General features: G+C 37.1%; 1 protein-coding gene and 1 long non-coding RNA gene across 2 annotated transcripts in view, besides 4 other annotated features; both read left to right on the top strand.

The window, feature by feature from the left end:
- Positions 1-877: 877 nt before the first annotated feature.
- On the top strand, positions 878-15,885 carry LINC01069 (long intergenic non-protein coding RNA 1069). The gene is made up of 3 exons (NR_108076.1): positions 878-1,036; positions 6,043-6,279; positions 13,667-15,885. It is a non-coding gene; the product is annotated as a long intergenic non-protein coding RNA 1069 (long non-coding RNA).
- Positions 19,577-20,038: an enhancer, noted in NCBI's record as "LTR-EBR". NCBI's record gives its function as "increases activity of native promoter in a reporter construct" and the evidence as "EXISTENCE:reporter gene assay evidence [ECO:0000049][PMID:11054415]".
- Positions 19,577-20,038: a promoter, noted in NCBI's record as "LTR-EBR". NCBI's record gives its function as "promoter in placental JEG-3 cells" and the evidence as "EXISTENCE:reporter gene assay evidence [ECO:0000049][PMID:11054415]".
- Positions 19,577-20,038: a mobile genetic element, named in NCBI's record as "EDNRB upstream promoter region".
- Positions 19,687-19,698: a transcriptional cis regulatory region, noted in NCBI's record as "LPE (LTR placental enhancer 1)". NCBI's record gives its function as "important for promoter activity" and the evidence as "EXISTENCE:reporter gene assay evidence [ECO:0000049][PMID:12805445]".
- The window catches only part of EDNRB (endothelin receptor type B), an 80,041-nt gene continuing 74,757 nt past the window's right edge, over positions 20,124-25,407 (top strand). The window contains exon 1 of the mRNA NM_000115.5: positions 20,124-20,304. The gene's annotated coding sequence lies outside the window, so the exon portion shown is untranslated. The remainder of the gene's footprint in view (positions 20,305-25,407) is intronic.

Here is a 25,407-nt window from a genome sequence, read left to right as displayed (position 1 = left end):
AATGTATCTTCTAAGTGTAAGGTGATGGCAATTCTTTAAAAGAAGAATTGATAGGACTTGGTGACAAATCATAGTACAAATTGATTATGGAAAAGAGAACAAAAATATTTCTTCACAGGTACATAAACTTGGTGTCTATTTTAAATACATGTAAAGTATTGATCCTCGTCTCACATGTAATAAGAGATGCCTCACAAATATCTGTTGAACTGAAATGTCCATTAAGAAATTGCAGTACCAAAACTTGGGAGAAAGAGACAGATAGCTTTGACCTATATTTTTAAGGATAATAAAAATAAAAATGAAAGTTAATGTCATAAGAATCGATGAGCTTTCTGAGAGAGAGAGAGTAGCTACAGAGAAGACAGTCTGCCTAACATGACAGCACAATTCTCCTGGGTTTAAAACTCCTGTGTGCCTGGGTGTGTTGGCTCACGCTTGTAATCCCAGCACTTTGGGGGGCCAAGGTGGGCAGATCACCTGAGTTCAGGAGTTCAAGACCAGCCTGGCCAACATGGTGAAACCCCGTCTCTACCCGAAATACAAAATTAGCCAGGCATGGTGGCAGATGCCTGTAATCCCAGCTACTTGGGAGGCTAAGGCAGGAGAATCGCTTGAACCCAGGAGGCAGAGGTCGCAGTGAGCCGAGACTGCACCACTGCACTCCAGCCTGGGTGACAGAGTGAGACTCCGTCTCAAAAAAAAACAAAAAAAACAAAAAAACAAAACAAAAAAAAACCAGAAAAAAACAAAAATACATAAAACTCCTGTGTGTTCAAGAGACCCCTATTAAAATGCAGAGCATCAAGTGAGCTAACAGAGTTTTAAATAGTACCAGCCAACACTTCAGAGAGACTGCTTTTTACTGAAATAGGCCACCTAACAATGTCAAGGCAGAGAAAGAAGCTTCTGGGCAGTTAGTGTGTGAATTATGAAAGGAAGATGAATGGGAGGTACGAAGGTGGGAAAAACAGACTGAAGTAGCTTGTCACTTCTACCTAGGACCAGTCTTGCTTTTAAGTATAATGAATACCAGGTAATCTTATCAACATTTCTATGATAACTACTAGCCCAGTTTATTTTAGTCAACACTCAGCTCTGCTTAGAATGTCAACTATATTTTTAAGAAGCAATGAATTCTTTCACAATTCAAAATGTATAGATAGGTTAAAATGCTACTATTTTGGAATGTAGACATTGGCCTGGCCTTGAGAATAAGAGCATTTTCCATTTTTCGGATGTTTAGCCCATGTCCCCTACTGTATGTTGGCATGTGTCCAACCCTGCAGCATGTGAGTGAGTGGTGACCACACTCATTTACAGGAGCCCAGGCTCTGACTGGATGATGGTCTGAGGTTGCATGACTGGTAGTCACAGACTTGGGACAGATCTGTCTGATTCCAAAGTCTCCGTCATATTGTCTTCAACAGTGTGGCTATTTTTATTTTTGAAATAAGTCGAAATCCAAGACAGAAAGAAATAAGAGACGGCAATACATTTCTAAACCTTCCAGCAGCTGCTATCCAGCCTAGCATATCATAGGTACCTGTTTTGTTTTGTTGAATTGAATAGGTAAACTTCTGGCTGATTTTGAGCCTGTCCTGACTCTTTTGTGGTAACAAGCTCCCCAAAATAGTTAAATGAAGCTTTAGCACAAATCCTCATCTGGAAAAAATGTACAAAGTTAATGATTCAAGAGTAATCATTATTGAAGTAATTTATAAGAAAATATTGCCTGATAGGTTGTCTAGCAAGAGAGAGGCTCAACACCTCCTTGGTGGACTACATGCCAGGCGCGGTGGCTCACTCCTGTAATCCCAGCACCTTGGGAAGCCGAGGCAGGTGGATGCCCTGAGGTCGGGAGTTTGAGACCAGCCTGACCAACACGGAGAAACTCTGTCTCTGCTAAAAATACAAAATTAGCTAGGCATAGTGGCGCATGCCTGTAATCCCACTTACTCGGGAGGCTGAGGCAGGAGAATTGCTTGAACTCGGGAGGTGGAGGTTGCGATGAGCCGAGATTGTACCATTGCACTCCAGCCTGGGCAACAAGAGTGAAATTCCATCTCAAAAAAAAAGTATATGGTTATTCTTATTTAGTATTTGTACAGTCCAAAAATATATATGTATTTGGTAAGAACAAAGTATTTGCTCAATGCTCTACACAGTTCCAGCCTAAACTAGGAAAACAAAATATATTAGGACCAAGACACAATACCCAAGGGGGTGGTCAAATGTCAGAGGTGTAGGCCTAATTATTTATTTATTTTTCTGGCTCTGCTGTGGGAACCTTGGTCTTGACTCCTCCGAGTCCCAGAATCACAATCTTCAGGAAGAGATTCCAGCCACACCTCTTGTCCTAATCCCTAATCTTAGCTCAGGAAACCAATAAGCTTCAAATGTATATACCAGGATGTTTTCCTAACCCTCGGTAAGGACTCAACCATGAGAGTGTTGCTCACAAGGAGGGCCACATCCCTCCTATGTTCTTTTTCTGGTTTAATACATCTGCCAACATGCAATATATTCCCAGGATGAGCTTATTCTTGAGAACTAAATATGTTCTTCATTTTAATATAAAGTTAGAATTCTGTATTCATGAATCAAAAAAAGAGACGTGAAGTGATCAGCCATGCTCAGATGACCAAGGGAGTTGGGAAGGGTATTATAAACAAAACAAAAGGGAAGAAAACTATTTTAAGGAATCACAACAGTAGAAAAAGTGCCTTGCTTTTTTCTCAGAAGGTAACATTTCTCAAGCAGGAAAAAAAAAATTAATCCCTATGCCTCCCAAAAAGAACATTTAAAATCTTCCTAGCAATGAAAGAAGTCACTATGTCTCCCATTAGTTTATAAACCATAAAATAGACTTTATGTCTGAAGCCTTAAAAAGAGAATAAAAGCTATACTTCAATATTAATCATGCATTTGTTAAAAGGGGCAACACTTTTAAAATAATGAACCACTGGCATTTAAGTGTTGCTACAATGTTCTAAAAATGTACTCTGAATATTTTAGAGGAAGAGATGATTGGTACGGCTACACCTTCTAATGTAAAACATATGTGCTTTAAAAATAAACTTGGATTTTAAATGTTCAAAAATTTATTTCTATCTTGTCTAGATTTAGCTTTATGAGTAATTTCATGTTTGCAATATTAATTCTTCTTTTTGAAACCAGTTTGTCAACTGCTTTCAAGTTTTTAAAAATGCAACTAAAATTTTAAGCTTAAAACCTCAAATCTGTAAAATTTAGTGATTTTTTTTTTACAGCTCAAAAGATGTGGCCTAGTATGATATTCACCCTTTAAATTCCTAACTTTAGAAAAACATTCTGTAATGTAGTCCTATGTACCACCACACAAACAATCATATACACATGCATATATATCTCCAACTTCTATTTTATTATATGTGTATATGTGTATACATATATAAACACATATATAAATGTATTTTTTCTGACAAATCTCTTTAATAATGCCTTAGAAATAAAATCAAATAATAGATTTATTGAGCAGTGATACAAATAGTTCCAATCAAAATAAATTACCCCAAATAATTTTTTCCCATTTGCATTACTGATATGTAAATTTGATATCTACCTTTACATGAATAAGAAATCTAATTTTGGCCAGGTAATTATCAACCTGGTATTAAATCAAAATTACATGCATGGAAGAGGGAGAGATATTACAAATCATGTACAAAACCAATTATAGCATAATAAACCTTTCTATATATTGGCAACTAGCTTATATTTTGACTAAGATTTCACTTAACAGATCTTTTGAAATATCACTTTTCATTATGTTTTATTGTTCTCTCTCTGTGCATGTATGTGTGTGTATATATATATACACTATTATATATAGTATATAATAGTATATATATGTGTGTACGTGTATACATACATACATACACACACACACACACATATATACTCTTTTAACTAAGATCTCAGTGAATGAAGAAGTCAACAGCTAATTGTTAGTTAATTGTTTAGGGAAAGAGATGTAGAGAAGTAAACATAAACTTCTATTTTTTCAGTTATTAGGAGTCATGTCTGAAACAGACACAGAAATAAATATTTGATTTAAACATATTGATGTTATAGTCCCAAAATAAATAAAAAGGTTCAAGAGGCTCAGTTCATCATTTAAAGTGTATGATAATTTTTAGTAGAGACCCAAATGCTGTTGTGTATTTGATAAAGAAAGAGAAACATATGTTAATATAATAACAGCTTTTCATTTTTTCCTATGGTGACAGAAAAATCTAAAGTGACTTTTCCCTGTCACTTTGGGTAACAAACTAATCCTGGAATGTTGGAGGGAGAATTTAGCACAACATGTTAAGGAAATGCAGATGGAACTGATGTTTTATTAGATGTGCTAAAAATATCTTTATGCTAGGAACTCCTTTCTTATCAAACACCACGGGGGCCCAGTTTCGCATCCTATGAACACCAGTGTGCTTTGTGAGAAACAGCCTGTTCTCTTTATATTTAAAACTTGTATTGTGCTTTATCTGGAAACCCGAACAAAAAGTGCTGCTAAATTAAGAGATACATGGCATCTTCTCTCGTTGACATGGAGACCATGGCTGTGATAAATATGGGCTAATATGCTTTGAAGAAAAACAAATAATCACAAGGGAAAACTTTATACTCTCCTGGAGGAAAAAGGAAATAATTTCAAAACTTAAATATTTTGTAGGATAAACAATCACAAATCTTACCAAGGTGATCTAGTAAGAATACTCTTTTTTTTCCCCTTGCACAAAGAAGATTATAATCCTTATTTAACTTGAAAGGAAACCTTAGTTTTATCTTATAAAATAAGATAGAAATCTCTAGGGCGGGACACTGGCTGCCTCATCAGTTATTATAATTTTATAAGAAATGACCTTTAAACTGTAGAGCATGAAATTAAGCAAAAACATTCTGTGTATAAGAAGAGCATTCCTAGACCTTGCCCTCAACGCAGATCTGTTATCATTCTAGATTTATCAGTGATGAAATTGGACACACTCGATTTTCCTCCCACTGGTAATATTTGCAGTCAGCATGAATAGACTTTCTCAGTACAGTTTTCAACTCCTGGCACAACAGTATCCTTTTTCCAAACTATAGCATAAATCACAGAAAAGTATCTCCTCATTTGTTTGGGATGAGTTTTAATTCAGAAACAATTTATAGTAATATTCTAAGAGACTGACTGAATTTGCTTTCCCAACTGAAAAAGGAATCAACTATTTGTTATTATTTAATGAAGCTTTGAAGCATGAGGAAGTCAATTATTCTTCAGTGCAGGTCTGTATTTCTTTTGAAATATTAGAAATTGAAGAATAGTAACAATAACTTAATCTTACCAAACACCATTATTCTATGCTCTTTTCTATGTACTTCCCATTATTAACTCCTCAAAGTGTCATAATAACAAGATAAAGTAGGTACCATGAGTATCACCATTTAACAGATAAGGAAAATGAAGCAACCTGACCAATATTACATTAAGAACTCTGTGGAAAAGTCAGATTTTTAAACCAAACGGTTAGGCTCAAACATCTATTCTCACAACCACTGTGCTAGTAACCTATGGCCTTTTAAAAGGCAATTGCTCATTTTCCTACCTTGTTGATGAGATCATATTTTTGCTGTAAAGCATTGGTTGTTCATTTTATATTTCAAAATGTTTCAGTGCAGTGCAGAGCCTGTGTTCCTCTTCTTTTATTTTATGACTCTGTTTTTTTTTTATTGGATGTGATTTTTAAAATCATAAATGTTTTTTACACTCCAAAAAATTATGGAGTGAACTAGTGGGATCACACATAAATATTTGCATGATTTTCAGTTTTTATATGGCAGTTATCTTACTTTTATAATAGGATTTTGCAGGTTGTAAGCTCAGAATTTCATGCTGAAAAATAAGAAAAATCCAAGCTCTTGTCATTTCTAGTCACCATAATTTGCTTCTTTCTCTTTGTAACAGTCACTCCTGTAATGATATGAGTTTTGGATAATTTTTTTATTTATTTCAAGTGATGTACAAAGGGGACTCCTGCATTTTCCCTGTTCCCTGAAGAGATTAAGAACTTCTGAGTGGAGACAAACGGGAAAAAATATTGTTTGTGGAACCTTGCCTAGGCTTGATGAGAAGGAGGAAAGAGCTCTTACAGCTAAAACTAATCAGTAACTGTGGTTTCTCCAAACATGGAAGAATTTTCCATCAACAGTCACAATGGGGAGTGTCTAGTTGGACCATCATGGAAGATGGATGTGAGTAAAACCGGATTACTTATTTATTATTTAAATGTAGAGTCTTGACTTTAGTAGCATTTTGGGTGCTATAGGTATACATAATTCAGTGATCTAAATTAAAGTATAATCCAATAAAAGTTATACCTATTATTGTCGTTCCCTTCTACTGAAAATTCAAAAGAGAAAAAGAAAAGGAGAGGGGAATATGTTTGTGCTCTAATGTTATGAATGTAAGAAACTGTTACAAATATTTCCAATACATAGACCATTATTTAGTTTTTCTGATGTTTTTACTGCTTAAATTCAGCAGATAATAGCCTTTGCAAGTATATAGATAGACAATGACATTTCAGGCATAATAGGCAGACTAGTAGTGGCTTTTGTTTTGTTTTGTTTTTCTCTGAAAATAATCTTCTATAGTTACTTCATGTTGCTACCGTGAAACAAATGATCCTCCATTTACCCCACTGGATAAATTTGAAAAGATCCCATTCCACTATCCTCTTTCATCCCTACCTGTCCCAAACTGTAGATGGCAGTTTTGTTATCATGTCACCTGAATTAACCTATTAGAGAGAATAGAGACCCTTAAATGTACATGTTTTATCAGAGTTGTGTGCACCCATTGTTGTGATGTTCTGCTCATGTTCTTCTGAGTTTCCTTAGGGATCTGGGGAGTTTGGATGGTGTAGCTGCAATGACAGAAGAGGACACTGTCCATTGTGGCTTTGAACAGACATGATCCATTCCCGGTGGTAGAGCCTTATCATTCAGTCTGGGGAGTGGACTGGAATCCAGCTGGCATTCATCGTCCCCCTGTCCTGCCTTGGCAGGGGTTGCAGTACACTAGTGATGACACAGCAGCCACATTGAGGGGAGTAGTTCTAATTCTACTCTCAGGGACACCCATCTGTGGTGTATCATTGGTGTCTGGTGGCTTTTGGAAATTCCAATATATAGCACAGTCATTTCTGTTTCTAAGAGGAGAGGACTTTTCAACTTAGCAAGAGTATAATGAAAAAGTGGGAGTTAGCAACTATTAAAGTTTTGGTAGCTTCTATTGGGCACCTAGAAACAAAGCCTAAATATGAGAAAAGATCAATAAGCCCTGTGGTAGAATCACATGAAAACCTTACTTTGGGATATTTTTGTGCATTTTAATGATTTCTGACTTTTAAATTTACTTTTCCAAAGCTGCCATTCTTTCTCAGGCTCCAAACTAACACTGAGAAGCAAGATTTAGGGGCACTGACCATGCATCTGATAAGTCATTACTTCAGGAAATATGTACTAAGCCCTTTTATGTGACAGGCACTGGAGTAAGGAAAATGGGCAAACAGCACTTGCTTCAAGGAGAGAAGAGCAACATGTCAGAAAGCCAAACTGAATTAAGGAGAGAAAATTAAATTTCTCATTTAACAGCTGCAACAATAACATACAAATAAATTTACTGATCAATAAGGGATGTACTTTCACGTAAGTTTTCAAACTCAGCAAGCATTAGAACACTAACCAATACTGAAATAAAGCCAAAGGCTAACTGCAGAACCACCAACTTTATTTTCTAATCAGATAATATTTCAGGGTTGTAGCCTTCTCGAAAACCTTTAAACATTAGCCTAATCCTTAAATACATGCTTTGCCTGGGAGTTAATACTAGGCATGAATAAAGTTTTTTTTTATAGAAAAAAAGACAGGTAACAGACATATATATTTACGGTATATAATCTATATACACATATATTCTGAATATGTATATGATGTGTATGTGCATACATACACTTTCCTTAGAATTTCTTAGTAATTATGAATATGGTAAGTGTTAGGCTGATTCCAAATGAGTGTAACTACACTAAAATTTCTGGCGCTCTGGGAGATACTGTCTTTTAATCAAGCATTCTTTATGAATATGTAGATAGTTTCTGATGTTCAATAAAATAAAATTACCTTTAAGAGCTTTTAAAATATAAAAACATGTTTTACAATACTTAGACTTACACACTCGAGGTTAAAATGCTGCACACTTTCAGATAGTACCACAATCCCAATTTCCAAAGTTGGTCTGTGTCTGGGAGAACGCCACTCCTTTTCACACCATGTGCAGGGGGAGGAAGGCAAGGAGCAGGACACTGGTCAAAGTACAAGCCACGTACACTCATTTCCTTTTGGCCCAGCCTTGGGTACCTCTTTGGGATGTGCAGATCCAGGTGAGGCACCACTCCATCCCAGGTCTGATGGATGTCCAGCCCCCACGGCCACCACCTCCTGCCCACCTGTCCTGGGAATGCCCCAAAAGGGCTGTGAAAGCCTTCTAAAAATGGGTTGAGCAGGTGTCCTGAAGCAGTAGGAGGCAGGAAATTCCTTGCTACCACACTGGGATTTATGCGAATCGGATCCAAACCTCCCTGGATGAATACCCGAGGCTGAGGGTTTGTGCCCTGGAGCATCCCTGAGAGACTTGAACTCTAGCAGTAACCCGCACAGTGTATCAGTGTGCCAGCTGTCATTGTGTGGTCTCTCAGTGGCTTTTAGCACAATTTTCTCACAATAGCATAGAGACTGAAACTCATGACACTGGACAACAATTAAAGCTCACCCTGAAGAACTAAGGTGGCACAGGGGCCAGTGCCAGTGGCTGCACAGAGCGACATCTCTGTGTTCCTCTCTCAGCTCATCTTCCCAAGGAAGAGAGATCCTGGTATCTCTCCACAAAGAACAGTTTCCATTCCTATCTGATGTGGTAACATTTGTTCCACATTTAGCATTTCAAATCTAAATTGCTCAGTCCCATATAAGATATCCTTGATTGACAGGAAAACTCAGATATACTGTTAGCTGAAGCTCAGCCAGGAGCCACAGATTTTGAGGCCAGACTGCAGGAACTCAACCCCAGGACTCTCATGCACCGTCCCCAGAGGAACTCTGGAAGGACTTGGAGAACACAAATGACTTCTGCAGATGTACCACAACAATGCCTCTCACTTTATGTGTTAGCTCTTATCTCAGAGTCAAATTGATAACAATGGTAATAAAGGAAGCAAACACTTATCTGGTATTTACTAGGTGTCAGGCCATTGTAAAAGCTTATTTACTTTGGTTTATTGAATCCTCATGTACAAGATGATGAGGTACATTTTCTACTGTACCCACTTTACAAGTAAGAAAACTGAGGCCCATTTCTCAAAATGTTTTGGAGAAAACAGTGCTCAGAGAATATGCATTCCTCTAAGCAACTAAAGCAGATGCAGCCTCTTTTTAGAAGTTTTCTGAAGAGCCTTATTCACTGGGCAAGACATGTCATATCCTCTTGTGTAACACCCCAGATTTTAAGAGCTTTTTCCAAAGTCTATTTTTTCAGGTCACAATGTTCTTTATTGTCCCTAGAGCTTATATGACAGCAGCAGCAGTGAAAGGATTGTACTCTGGTTCATTCCCAAAATCCCAAACGAAAAGCACAACTTTTTTGTTCTGACATCATAAAGTGCCCCGGAAGGGTACTTTATGTGTCATAAATTGCCTCTGAAGTGCCCCAGGCTCTCATTTTCTTTATACCCCAACCCACGCCAGTCAAATTTAAACGGTTGTCTCAGCCTTATAATTTTATTTAACATTCTATTATAGTATTTTAATATTGCAACAGAGTGATTTATTTTATAAATAGTTATTAATAATCTATGCTGAGCCAGACAATTAGACAACACAATGAACGTGAATCAGACAGGTAAACATTCACATACTCACAAAGTTTTTTCATCTAGTGGGGGACTCAGACATTTAACAGATAATACAGCATACAAATGTGCTAGGAAAGGAGTAGTAGCAACCACGGGGAAAAGACATCTTTACAAAGATGATTTCTACATTGAAATAATACAGATGGCGAGAATATTGTCAGGTGAGGAGGCAAAGATGTGGAGGCTGGAGGTGAGAGCTGGGTGGAAGGAGGAAGCAATTAGGCAAGCAGAACATCATGTTCAGGGTCAGGAAAGTGGAGCATAAAGCCCAGGTGAGGAAAGCAGCACAGTCTGGCCGAAGACAGAATTTATTCAAGAAATGAGATTGGAAAGGAAAGCAGGAGTGTATAACAAGGATGGTAAACCACTTTAGGGAGTTGGCACTTTATCCTTGGGGCAATGTGGAATCATTGAATGATTTTAGGCAGAGAGTGATGGGATTTGAGTTATATTTTAGAAAGATCACTGTCTGAAATAATGCAATCAATTCAAAGAGAATATTCTAAAGTCAGAGACCAGTTTGAAAGGCTGCTAGAGTTGTGCAGGCCATTTTTGCAATGACTTAAACAAGGATTGTGGGAGTATGAACAGAGAGAGAAGTGGTTGCTTCCCAGAGCTATTTAGGACATAGCCCCTTTGGGAAATTGTGATCAATGGTATATTGGGCAAAGGGGTCCATTGCTGAATGCTGTTAACTAAACTAGGGGCACAGGAGGAGAGCAAGTTGGGAAGAAGATAAAAATCAATGAGTTCACATTAGGTATGTCAATTTTTAGCTGGAGTATCCAATTGCAGATGTCCAGTTAAAAGAAAATAGATATACATACCTAGAGTTCAAGGAATGATCTGAGATGGATTTATAATTTAGGAGTCAATAGCAGAAATAAAATGTAACCCATAGGAGAATATATGATTGTTTAAAGAAAATATAGAGAGTATTAAAACTAAGAAGACCCAATAAAGACCCTCTCCCACTGATTATCTCCTATATATTCATTCATGTATCTCATATTTATTGAGTGCAACTATTAGGTGAGTTGCTATGGAAGGAAAGCAATATATTCTATATGAGAAACTGAAAACCAGAGAGGCTAAATAGCTTTAAAATGTGTAAAAACTGAGACTCTTTCCTAGTTGAAAGATATTTCTACTACATCCATTTACTTCTAATTTAAATTAGACATGCTTTTCAGAACTAGTAGAAGTTCAAAATCCTCACTTCTCAATCCCTTGCACTTTCACTGCTGTATTTTCATCATTCTTACGTTTGCTTTAATATCGTGAATTTGCCACTGTCAATAGGCAGCATAACTCTCCTTAGATAATATATGTTATGGACACATATCCTAAATCAAACTATCCTTTATTCCTAACAGTCTACTTTGTTTACAAAAATTCAGTGGTATCCTTTATACAAATAAACAGAGAAGAAGTTTGTTTATAGTTCTTCTAGAAAACAAAAGGATCCATACTTCCTAAAGCAGCCTTGTAAATAAATAATGGAGCTGGTTTCGTCTCAGTTCCCATCCCACTGCTTCCAGATAAATTCCTCCTCCTGGTGACCTAAACAGGCCCTTTCTTCTGTGGCCCCAGCCTGGAGAAGATCACTTGTTGCATTTATGTTTATGGCTCCTACTCCTCAAAAACCCATTAAATCAAGACAACACAGATCACACTGTATTCCAAGGCTCCTACCTTCTTGCTTGAGTTTAATTTAGCACCAATTTGGTGTGATATGATTCTGTAAGAAGTTTTTATAGTTTCTCTTTATGTGCTACAAGTTTAAACAGAATATTAACAAATTATTTTCTTTCACACTAACCTTCATTTTGCTCAATTATTATTGTCCCTTGTGAAGTGATTGTGCTATTTCTGTTGCTACTCCTTAATATGACTTCTGTAATTATTCTGATTATTATTCAGCATCATTCTGGGTTTCCTAATTAGTCATACCTCTTCAATTTGTCATCCTGTATTGTTATTGTTTGTTTAACCATGAACTGTTACCTCCTTTAGAATAAAGACCACCTTATTTTGTGCGCCTAGCATCTAGCACTGTGCCCAGCCAGCATACAAGAGGCATGCAATAAATGATTATTTTGTGCCTTATTTTGTGTGCCTAGCATCTAGCACTGTGCCAAGCATACAAGAGGAATGCAATAAATGATTATTCAATAAAGAAATGTGCAAAGGAATGGGTGAAGATACTGCTTGATCATTATGATTTGGCTAGATTATCTTTGGATCAATATTATTCAAAATTTAAAAACTACTCATACTTAGAGGTTATGGATGGCAATAAAATCACTTGGCTAAATTACAATAACTTTAAAAATCATAAAATATGTAGGAATAAATCTAGTGAAAGATGTATGAGACAACTACATAGAAAACTACAAAATGTACTGACAGAAATTGAGAAAGATTTAAATAATGAGATATACCATGTTCATGAATTGGAAGGTTCAATATTTTAAAAATATCAGTTCTTCCTAAACTCACTTATAAATTTGATGTAATCCTCCCAACCAAAATTCCAGAAGGTGTTTCTGTGGAAATTAATAAGCTAATTTTAAAACGTGTTTGAAAATGCAAAAGGCCAAGAATAGCCCTGGACAAAGATTACTGTTAATACAAGAAGTCAAGCCAGTCACATATAAAGCTATTATATTTAAGAAAGTTTGCTATAGACTCAAGGATAAAAATATAGACCAGTGAAAAAGAAGAGCACATTCAGAAACTGACCGATTATTAGAACTGTCACCTGATTTATGACAAAGGTGACACTGCAGTGCAGCAAGGAAGGATGGGTTTTTTACATAAATGATTTGGGGTCTGCTGAATTGTACATGGAAAAAGTGAATCATGACCCCTTCCCAAGCCTCACACAATACACAAAAATCAGTTGTAGATGTACGGGAGATCTAAATGTAAAAGTAAAATAATAAAGCTGTTGTTAAAAAATAAAAAATCTTCGTAACTTAAAGCCAAGCAAAGATTACTTAAATAAGGTTAAAAATGTACTAGCCATAAAAGAAAAAGTTATAAATTAAACATCCCTGTTAAAATCACTTATATTAATCAGAACATGACTAAGGACTGAAAAGGAAATACATCAACTAGCAGAAGATATTGGCTAGGTATCTATTCAACAAAGAATATTTTACTTCCAGGATTATGAGAACTTCCACAAATCAATCAGAAAATGGCAGACAATTAAATTTTTTAAGTAGCCAAAAGTTTTGAACAGACATTTTACAAATGAGGATATCCAAGTGACTAACATATGAAAGATATTCAGTTTCAGTAATCATCAAGGAAATGCTAATTAAATCATAGTGATATGCCATGTACATACACACCAGAATGGATAAAATGAGAAAGGCAATGCCATATTTACCAATATTATGAAGTAACTGGAACCCTAGACAATGACAGTTTTCCAGATTGGTTGAACTGATTTGCATTTCCAACAACAATGCAAACCAGTTCAACCAATCTGGAAAACTCTCAGTGTCTATTAAACCTGAATGTACTCAAATGCAATGACCTAGCATTTATTACTTAAGAATATAACCCACATAAATGCCATTATAGACTGAATTGTGTCCTACCAAAATTCATATGTTGAAATCCTAACCACTAATATGACTGTATTTATTTGGTGGCAGGGGCCTCAAGAAGGTTAGCAGGATTAAATGAAGCAAAAAGGATGGAGCCCTAATTCAATAGGAATGATGTGATTATAAGAAGAGAAAGAGACACCAAAGCACAGAGGCAAGATGGTGTGAGGACACAATGGGAAGGTGGCATCTGCAACTAAGGAGAGAAGCTTCTGGATAAACCAAATTTGCTGACCTCTTAACCTTGGACATCCAGTCTCTAGAACAGTGAAAAAATTAATTTCTGTGGTTTAAACTACATAGTCTTTGCAACTTTGTTATGGCAGCCCTGGCAGACTATCAGAAATGCATTAAGATGTTCACAAAAAGAAATGTACAAAATGTTCTTAGCAACATTCTTGTATTTGGTTATTCTGAGAATAACCAAAGCCTAAAAACAGTCCAGATGTCCATCAAGTGTAATTTGTATAAATTATGTTTATTTATTCCAAACAATGTAATTTGGCAATGAAAACTAACAGATTACAGCTAGACACAGCAACAGGAATAAATCACAAACATAATGTTGAGCCAAAGAACTAAGTACAGATGAGTACGTCTTGAATGATTCTATTCATATAAAGTTATGATGAATCAGTCAAAATGAATCTGCTGTGTTAGAAATCAGGAATCAGGAGACTGGTTACCCTTGGGGGTCAGTAACAAAAAGGGAGTGAAAAGGGGCTTTCTGAGATGTTGCTAATATCCTGATCCTCAATTTCAGTGAATGCTGGTTACATGCATATGTGTCTTTTGTGAAAAGCCACAGCACCATCACTTATGCAGCTTTTTGTGTGTATATTATACTTCAATAACAACAAGCAAGTGATAGATCTGGGACTCAAACCCAGGCTTTGAGGCTCCAAATCTCTTGTCCTCTCATTATATTGTTTAAATGGTTTTATATTCCAATTATATCAGATAGTTTTAGATATCTGTATCTAATTCTTTCACATAATCGATACCAACAACTCTTGTCTTAAAGATCTAGAACTTTTGCCATGACTAAATAGCTCCCAGTAATAAGGTTCTCTTTACTGAGCTACCCCTTCCTTTTCTTTTCAGAACATTTTTTGTTCTCTTTAATTCAGAGAGCTGGTGGCTTCCATATTTATTGTTTTCTCCCATGAAGCTTAGAAGCTGGCAGGGCTTTTCTGCTCACAAAATGCCCTGCATGCTTACACTGAGTGGAAGTTTCCCATGCTGAGTCATGCTGGGAATATGGAAAAGCCCCTGGCTTTAAAAGTTCCCAGAAACTATTTAATCTTCAGTTCATCAAACGCACCCAGATTCTAATTATGGCAAGACGCAGTACATGGATTTTCACTTCTTACTTTCAACTCATAATTTTTCATTTAAATCTCCCAACTATTTACTCTTTCACCTAATTTTTTTTTAATCTAACCCATTTTTTTCCACATGATGAAATCAACTGAGACATGTTTCTGAAGTGTGGCACAAGCCAGAGGAAGGGCCCTCATGTCCACGGATTCTCTATTTACTAATTTAAAAATAATTAAACCTAAAAAGTGTTCATGTCAAAGCCTTTAATATATTTTCATTCCTTATCAACAGTTCTAATTGGCATTTACATCCATTTCTAGGTCTACATTATCTTATGATAAAATAACTTTATTTTACTATGAAATAAATATGATTAAAGAAAGAAACATAACCAAAATCCTTGGAGAGTAAAAAATATATACATAGGTCATTTTTTCCCCTTCTCTGCTATTATAACACCTCCCGTTATCAGTTCTCTAAAAGAACAATTCCAAACCTCAGAGTGTGCTGAGTCAGTTTATCAGCTTCTCTGCCACTTGCTTACTAGTATTTTTTGGACAACAATCATACCCACCTCTCTGCCACACTCGCAGGAAAGATATTTATTTCCACATATGCCCTCCTGGCTTCTGCACATCTAGATTCCTGTTCCCCTCTCCAAAAGCTGTTGCTAGCAGTCACATTTTTTTCTGCTGATCAAAGAAGAAAAGCAAAATCCATCTCTCCTTCTCTCCCTCCCTCCTTTTCTCTCTCCCTCCCTCCTTAAATCCCTTTTTCCCACTTAACTTTTGGAAAAACAATTGCGCAAGAAATTAGAAAACCCCAAAGATAGTATTTTCAAATTTCAACAAAATTATAAAAGATACACCTTTTTATTTGTGCCTCAGGATGCACAGAAAATAATGGATTTTCATATGGAAAAAAATAAATTTCAATGTTTCAAGAAAAAAAATGTAGCTGGACCAATCCTTATCAAGCCTTGAATGTGATCCCTTTACTCTTGACAATCAAGGACTCTAATCTACAGGTCTTTTACTTCTAACTCATTCTAAAATACATTTCAACTCACAGTTCCAAAATTCAGCCTCTTGAACCACTTTTCCTGTACTTAAACCTCATTACCTATCTCATTTTTCATGACTTTCTTTGCTATAAAGGTCATGGATTAAATTACCATATTTCTTCCCCTTATAAATCAGCAGGTATTAATTTTCTTAATGAATCATCAACTATTTATCAAGAGCCTATCATGTACCAGGCATTGTTTTAGGTGCTGGGCTACAGATATTAACAAGACAACTAATAAGAAGTTGCACTAATAAATACACAACACAATACCAAAAAGTAATGTAACTATCAACAATGACCTATATGAAAAGGAAATTAAGACAATCCCATTTGCAATATCATCAAACATAGTAAAATACTTTGGAATACATCTAACCATGGAGGTGAAAGATTTGTACACTGAAAACTATAAAACATTGATTAAAGAAGTTAAAGTAGGCACAAATAAATAGAAAGACATCCTGTGTTCATAGATTGGATGAATCAATATTGTTAAAACATCCATATGACTCAAAATAATCTATAGATTCAATGAAACCCCTGTCAAAATCTCAAAGATGTTTATTACAGAAGTAGAAAAAAAAAGCTCTAAAATTCATATGGAACTCCGAAAGACCCCAAACATCCAAAGAAATCTTGAGCAAAAAGAACAAAGCTGGAGGCATTGCACTTCCTGACTTCAATATGTATTACAAAGCTACTGTAACCAAAACAGTATGGCACGGGCATAAAAGCATAGAACAGTGAAACAAAATAGAGACCCCAGAAATAAGCCCACATATGTATGGTCAACTGATTTTCTACAGAGTGCCAAGAATACAAGGGGGAAGGGGTAGTCTTTCAATAAATAGGGTTGGCAAAACTGGATATCCATCTGCAGAAGAATGAAATGGGATGCTTATCTTTTACCAAACACAAAAATTAACCAAAATTGATTAAAGATTTGATGTAAAATTTGGCACCATACAACACCTAGAAGAAAATGTAAGGAAAAAATGTCTCAACATGGGTTTTGACAAAAATTGTTTCTTTGATAGGACACCAAAAGAACAGGCAACAATAGCAAAAATAGTAGTGAGACTATAACAAATTTTTTAAAACTTCTGCACAGCAAAGAAAATAATCAACAGAGTGAAAAGGCAAACTATGGAATGGGAAAAGATATTTGCAAACCATATATCTGATAAAGGGTTAATATCCAAACTATATAAAGGATTTCTGCAACTCGAGAGCAAAAAATAAGTAATTTGGTTAGAACATTGGAAAAGGAATCAAGTAGACATGTCCCCCAAAAGGACATACAAATGCCAACAGATAATATAAAAACATGCTCAATATCATTAATCACCAGGGAAATGCAAATTGAAACCACAAACAGGTATCAACTCACATTGGTTAGAATGGCTATTGTCCAGAAAACAAAAGATAACAAGTGTTGGTGAGGTTGTGGAGAAATTAGAATCCTCATATACTGTTAATAGGATGTAAAATTGTACTGCTGCTATGGAAAACAGTATGGCAGTTTCTCAAAAAACTAAAAATAGAATTACCATATGATACAGCAGTCCAACTTCTGGAGATAAAGATAGATAGATAGATAGATAGATAGATAGATAGATAGATAGATAGAGATATGTGTGTGTGTGTGTGTGTGTGTGTGTGTGTGTATCAACTGAAATCAGGATCTTGAAGACATATCTGCACTGTCATATTCACTGCAGCATTATTCACAATAACCAAGATATGGAAACAACCCAAATGTCCATCACAGATGAATGGGTAAAGAAAAGATGGCACATATATATATATATATATATATATATATATATATATATATATATGTATATATATATGTGTGTATTTTATGTATATATATATATATACACGTGTATATATATATATACACGTGTATATATATATATATATATACACGTGTATATATATATATATATATATATATATAATAGAATATCATTTAGCCCTTAAAAAGAAGGAGATCCCTTTGGGAGTCTGAGGCGGGCAGATGACCTAAGGTCAGGAGTTCGAGACCAGCCTGACCAACATGGTGAAACTCCATCTCCACTAAAAATACAAAAATTAGCCAGGCGTGATGGTGGGTGCCTGTAATCCCAGCTATTTGGGAGGCTGAGGCAGGAGAATCACTTGAACCTGGGAGCCGGAGGTTGCAGTGAGCTGAGATCATGCCATTGCACTCCAGCCTGGGTGACAAGAGTGAAACTCCATCTCAAAAAATAAAATTAAATTTAAAAATAAAATAAAATGAAGGAGATCTTACCATTTATGATAACATGGGTGGATCTGTAATACGTTATGGTAAGTGGGATAAGTCACAGAAGGACAAATACTGCATATTCCTCTTATACGTAAGAGATACCTAAAATAATCAAAGGTACTGAAGTAGACAATAGAATGATAGTTACCAAGGGATTGGTGGGAGGGGGAAATAGGAAGTTGTTGTTCAATGTGTATAAATTTACAGTTATACAACATGAGTGAGTTCCAGAAATCTGCTGAACAACCCAGTGACTATAGTTAACAATAAGATTTTGTGAACTTAAAAACTTAAAGAGAGTAGATCTCATGTGAAGCGTTGTTACCATAAAAACAAAACAATGGGACACAAGGAAAATTTGGAGGTAATGGATATGTTTATTACCTGGCTTGTAGTAATGATAACGTGAGTGTATGTATACACTTGTCCAAACCCACCAAACTGTGAACATTAATTACATGCAGCTTTTTGGATACTAGCTGTACCTCAATAAAGCTGAGGGGGAAAGTGATATTACTGTAAACAAATAATTTGGCCTCATGACGGGTGGAGAAACTATTTTAGAGAGTGTACTAGGGAAGACTTCTCCAAGGAGAAGACTTGAGAAGGAAGTGAGGACCCTAATAAAGTGAGAGATCAATACAGGCAGACAACTAGGATAGATCATTTCAGTCTGGGAGAGGTGGGAATGGGGGAAGAAGTTCAGCAAGAAGAAGTCCCTGAGAAAAGGTTCAGCATGGCATGTTTCAGGATCTGCAAAGAGGCTGGTATAGGTGGACATGAGTGGGGGCAGGGTAAGAAAGGAAGTTGGAGAGCTTACCAGAATGGATCATTTAGGGCCTTGTAGGCAATGGCAATGAGTTAGAAATGTATTTGGTGTTTATCTTCCAAATTATATTTGGAAATATATATGAACTTTATTCAGCTACTGGGAGACATTGGAAAGTCTTAAGCAGGGGAATGACTTGAATTGACTTAGACTTGCATTTGGTCTTGCTGGCTAGGGTGTGGAGAATTGACTATAGACATAGCAAGAGTGCAGGGAGACATCTCAGAACATCCTCTGTCTCTCCTGGTTATGCAGACTTGGACATTTCTCGGATAAGGCACGAACATTCCATCTTAGCAGTTCACTGTCTGCCTTTTCCTCATCTATCTTGCCTAACTCAAACCTAAGACTCTGCCACCTTTCTGCTGCATCAACCTAAGCTGCTCCCTGCTAATGGAGAGCAATCCATACACCCACAGCTGACTTACATTTATTGGAGTCCATTTAAGGGAGGATACCACCCCTCATATTGTCTTATGCCCAATTTCTGCCTCTGAAGAAAGAATAAGTAAAAACTAAAAGGCAGAAATGAAATCCACTGGCAGACAGTCTGGTGCCACACCCTGGGTCTGGTAGTTAAAGATCGACCCCTGACCTAACCGGTTATGTTATCTATAGATTCCAGACATTGTATGGAAAAGCACTGTGAAAATTCCTGTCCTGTTCTGTTCTGATCTGATTACCAGTGCATGCAGCCCCCAGTTATGTACCTGCTGCTTGCTCAATCAATCACAACCCTTTCACGCAGACCCCCTTAGAGCTGTGAGCCCTTAAAAGGGATAGGAATTGCTCACTCAGAGAGCTCAGCTCTTGAGACAGGAGTCTTGCCGATGCTTCTGGCCGAATAAACCTCTTCTTTCTTTAATTCGGTATCCGAGGAATTTTGTCTGCAGCTTGTCCTGCTACATTTCCTGGTTCCCTGACTGGGAAGTGAGGTGATTGGTGGATGGTCGAGGCAGCTCCTTAGGTGACTTAAGCCTGCCCTGTGGAACATTCCGGTGGGGGACTCTGGCCAGCCCGAGCAACGTGGATCCTGAGAGCACTCCCAGGTAGGCATTTGCCCCGGTGGGACGCCTTGCCAGAGCAGTGTGTGGCAGGCCCCCGTGGAGGATCAACACAGTGGCTGAACACTGGGAAGGAACTGGTACTTGGAGTCTGGACATCTGAAACTTGGTAAGACTAGTCTTTGGAACTTGCCCACTCCATTTGAGTAGAAGCGTGGCTTGCTCACCCACGGTGTGCCTTTATTGGCACTTTGGTTTTGGTTTTGGTTTTGACTTGGTTTGAATTGCTTGACAGGACTGGTCTTGGGAACTTGCCTACTCCATTTGAGTGGAAGCATGGCCTGATCACCGATGGTGTGCCTGTACCGGCACTTTGGTTTCTGTTTTTGATTTGACTTGGATTGCTTGATACTTTGGTTTTGTCTTTGACTTGGCTTGAATTTCTGGATACTCTGATTTTGGTTTTGATTTTTGTTTGGTGTAAACTGTAAAAGTGTGTGTGTGCCCTTTTTACCGGTTCTTTGTTTTGTGGTGTGCATGTGGTGTGAGCGTGGTGTTTTGCCTCAAAGAAGCATGGGTCAGGCACAAATAAGCCCACCCTACTAGGAACTATGTTGAAAAATTTCAAAAAGGGATTTAAGGGAGACTATGACACCAGGAAAACTTAGAACTTTATGTAAAATAGACTGGCCAGCATTAGAGGTAGGTTGGCCATCAGAAGGAAGCCTGGAAAGGTCCCTTGTTTCAAAGGTATGGCACAAGGTAACCTGTAAAGCCAGGGCACCCAGACCAGTTCCCGTACATAGATGCTTGGTTACTGCTGGTTTTAGATCCCTTCACAGTGGTTGAGAGAATTGCAGCATAAGTGGCTGGCAGAGGCAGAGAGAGAGAGAGAGAGAGGCAGAGAGGAGAGAGAGAGACAGAGAAGAGAAAGACAGAGATATACAAGTAGTTAAGAAAAAAAGTGTACCCTATTCCTTTAAAAGCCAAGGTAAATTTGAAACCTATAATTGATAATTGAAGGTATTCTCCATAATCCTGTAACACTCCAATACTACTTTGTTGTCAGTGTAAACAAGGGCGTATCCCAAAAGCACTGAGGCCTTCCTATCAAAAATCCTTAACCCAGTAGCCCGTGGATGGCCCAAATGCATTCAATCTGTAGCAGCAACTACTTTGCTAACAGAAAAAAAGTAAAATAATAATAATAACTTTTAGAGGAAACCTCATTGTGAGCACACCTCACTAGTTCAGTTCAGAAATATCCTAAATCAAAAAAGCAAAAAAGTAGCTTACTAACTCAAAAATATTAAAGCAAGGGGCTATTCTGTTAGGAAAAAAAAAGCCATCTATACCAATTCTAAGTTAATTTGGACAAAACAAGGTCTTATTAATAGCAAAAGATAATTAAAATCCCAAACTTGCAAGGTTTTCAACAAAAGTAAAGTTTGCTAAAAGTTAACAGTGTAACATGTTTTATACTAACTTCTATTCTTGCGGCCTTAGACAGTCTAGTCCACAGACACAAAAGAAGTTTGCTTTGGAAAAAAATGGTTATCATCTTCAAAAAAAAAAAAAGGAAAAAAGGGGGGGCAGAATTTATGTAAAAAGAGTATTATATGGTAAATTCTTGTCCTGAAATAAATTAGCTGGTTGTTTAAAGAAAGAAATATTTGTAATAAGTCAGAAAGTTGAAGCATGTTGAAGAACTGCCTGCGAAAGTCATGAAAAAAAAGGTTATAAAAGGAAATTCATGCAAGAAATGTTGTCTAGTTTAAAAGTAATTAGGCCTCCTAAATGTAAAACTATTAAAGAAACAGTTTATGTGCAAGGTATATAAAAAAAGTAAAATATACTTTTAATAGAAGAATTATAAGGAGGCATAAGAATGTAAAGTTTTACCTACATTAAAAGGTTAAAAATATGTGCGTTTTGTTTTAAAGGTTTAATCAAGTTTTAAAATGTTAATTGAAAAAAAAAATCTGTGTGTAAACATCGGCTAAAGTTAAAGAGGTATCATCCAGTTTTTCTGTAAACTGGACATTAAAATAAAAGCATAACAGGTTTTTCTTGAAGTACCAACCTGCTCTTTAGCAAAAATTATAAAATGTTAAAAAGAGTCTATAAAATCTTACCTTATAGTCAAATATTAAAAATTAGATAAATATGTCTGCAAGGTTTTATTAAAATTAGGTTTAACATTAATAACACATTAATATAAAGGTAAAATTTAACTTATCTGGTATAAAAATCATACAGGAAGCATTGTTAAATGTAATGGTATTTGGCTTTCTTTGATTTAAAAACTAATAAAAATAGGTGCTAAAGGAAATTTCTCAGTAACAAGGCACTAAGGACTATAAAGTCCACTGCCAAGGTCCCCACATTTAAAACAAATGGTCAATTTCTTAAAAATTATATACTTGGCTTATCTTCCACTTAAAAGTCTTTTAGTATGCATACCACCCCTAGAATTTCCAGTAAACCAGCACCAGCCTGAAGATCACGTTCTCATCAAAAGGTGGAAAGAAGAAAAACTCGAGCCAGCCTGGGAAGGACCCTACTTTGTGCTGCTAACCACCAAGGCTGCTGTTCATACAGCAAAAAAGGATGGACTCATCACACCTGAGTCAAGAAAGCGCCACCCCCTCCAGAGTCGTGGGCCATAGTCCCAGGGGAAAACCCTACCAAGCTAAAGCTAAGAAAAATTTAACTCTTTTCATCTATTCTATTACTCTTTCTTCTTTCCTCATTCTATTGCGGACCATCTAGTTATTAACATAACCAAGTCAATTTCACCTCAAACTGTTGCATTTAATGCTTGCCTTGTTATACCCTGTGGAGACTTGCCAAGTCAAAGACAGCTTTCTACTTCAGAAAAGTACTTCTATCCCTCTTGACTCTCTTTAGACTGGGCATTGGTAAACTAGGACCGTTTAATCGGGGGAGATTTCGATAAAGACCCCAGTGCCAACCAGGAGTCTTGCCCCCCAACATAGAGCTTTTATGCCATAGTTGGTCCAACATTCTGTGGACCACTAAAGAGCAAGGATGAACTGCCCCGACTGGTTTTTATAATTTCCTAAAATCATACATTCATTTTACTAGAGGATCATAGAAGTTAAAGACTTAAAACAAACTTTAGCAATTAAGACAGGATACCAAGATGCAAATGCCTGGTTAAAATGGATCAAATATTCCGCCTGCACGTTAAACAAAAGCAATTGTTATGCTTGTGCACATGGCAGGCCAGAGGCCCAGATTTTCCCCTTTCTATTAAGGTGGTCCTCCAGTTGACCAGGCGTAGGCTGCATGGTAGCTCTTTTCCAGTATTCTACAGCCTGAAGTAATAAGTCATGCCAAGCTCTCTCTGCTATATCCCAAAGTCTGGCACCCTGTGGGTCAGCCCCCAAGGGCCATCCAGCTTCCGCTTCCCAACATTAAGTTCACTTCATGTCTCTCACGACAGGGAGGCAACTTAGCATCCCTTGGAGACCTGAAGGGATGCGATGAGCTTAAGAATTTTCAAGAGCTTATCAATCAGTCAGCCCTTGTTCATCCCCAAGCAGATGTGTGGTGGTATTGTGGTGGATCTTTACTGGGCACTCTGCCGAATAACTAGAGTGACACTTGGGCTTTAGTCCATTTGGCTATCCCTTTCACTGGGGCATTTCATCAACAAGAAGGAGAAAAAATAAGACATCGTAAAGTGAGAGAAGTCCCTATGGATCTTTCAACTCTCACATCTATTTAGATGCAATTGGAGTCCTGCAAGGAATACCAGATCAATTTAAAGCTTGAAATCAAATAGCTATAGGATTTAAGTCAATATTTTAGTGGGTGACAGTTAATAAAAATGTAGATTAGATAAACTACACCTATTACAATCAACAGCAGCAAGCTTTCCATGAGTTAAAAAAAAAAAAAAAAAACTCATGTTGGCCCCAGCCCTGGAGCTACCTGACCTGACAAAACCCTTTACACCCTATGTGTCAGAAAGAAAAAAAAAATGGCAGTTGGAGTTTTAATCCAGTCTGTGGGGCCTTGGCCAAGGCCAGTGGCCTATCTCTCAAAACAACTAGATGGAGTTTCCAAAGGCTGGCCCCCATGTCTAAGGGCCCTGGCAGCAATGGCCCTGTTAGCACAAGAAGCAGATAAAGTAACTCTTGGGCAAAACCTAAACATAAAGTCCTCCCATGCTGTGGTGACTTTAATAAATACCGAAGGACATCATTAGTTAACAAATGCTAGACTAACTAGATAACCAAAGCTTGCTCTGTGAAAATCCCAACATCACCATTGAAGTTTACAACACCCTAAACCCCGCCACCTTGCTTCTGGTATCAGAGAGTCCAGTTAAACATAACTGTGTAGAGGTATTGGACTCAGTTTATTCTAGTGGGCCCAACCTCTGAGACCAACCTTAAACATCAGTAGACTGAGAGTTATACGTGGATGGGAGCAGCTTTGTCAGCCCCTGCAAAGTGACTCTGAAGAAGACAACAAGCCCTGCTCCAGTCACACTTGGAAGCTGACTGGTCCACACACAGCCAAAGCATGAAGAAACTCATCACAAGACTCATTTTCCTTAAAATTTGGACTTGTGCAGTAAGGACTTCAACTGACCTTCCTCAGACTGAGGGCTGTTCCCAGTGTATACATCAAGTCACTGAGGTAGGACAAAAAGTTGCTAAGGCCTTATTATTTTATAGTTATTATAAGTGTACTGGAACCCTAAAAAAAACTTGTTTGTATAATTTTATTCTATATAAGGTATGTAGCCCAGGAAATGACCAATCTGATGTGTGTTATGACCCATCTGAGCCTCCCATGACCACGGTTTTTAAAATAAAATTAAGAACTGAAGACTGGTGAGGGCTCATAAACAACACAAGTAAAGTGTTAGCCAAAATAATAATAATAATAAAAAAGATAATAAATAGCCCCCTGAGAGAATTATACAATATTATAGGCCTGCTACTTATGCACAAGACGGCTCATAAGGATACCAGACCCCCATTCACATGCTCAACCAAATCACACAGTTACAAACTATCCTAAAAAGGGACAGGAATTGCTCACTCAGAGAGCTTGGCTCTTGAGACAGGAGTCTTGCCGATTCTCCCAGCCGAATAAACCTCTTCCTTCTTTAACTCGGTGTCTGAGGAGTTTTGTCTGTGGCTCGTCCTGCTACACGTTCTATAGCTTCCCTTTGACTCAGAAAATACCACCAGGGGTCTGGAATATTCTAGAATCTTTGTTTCTTACATTT

Source organism: Homo sapiens, chromosome 13 (assembly GCF_000001405.40).
Source record: "Homo sapiens chromosome 13, GRCh38.p14 Primary Assembly".
Classification (NCBI taxonomy): domain Eukaryota; kingdom Metazoa; phylum Chordata; class Mammalia; order Primates; family Hominidae; genus Homo; species Homo sapiens.
This window is presented reverse-complemented; position numbering and strand designations above follow the sequence as displayed.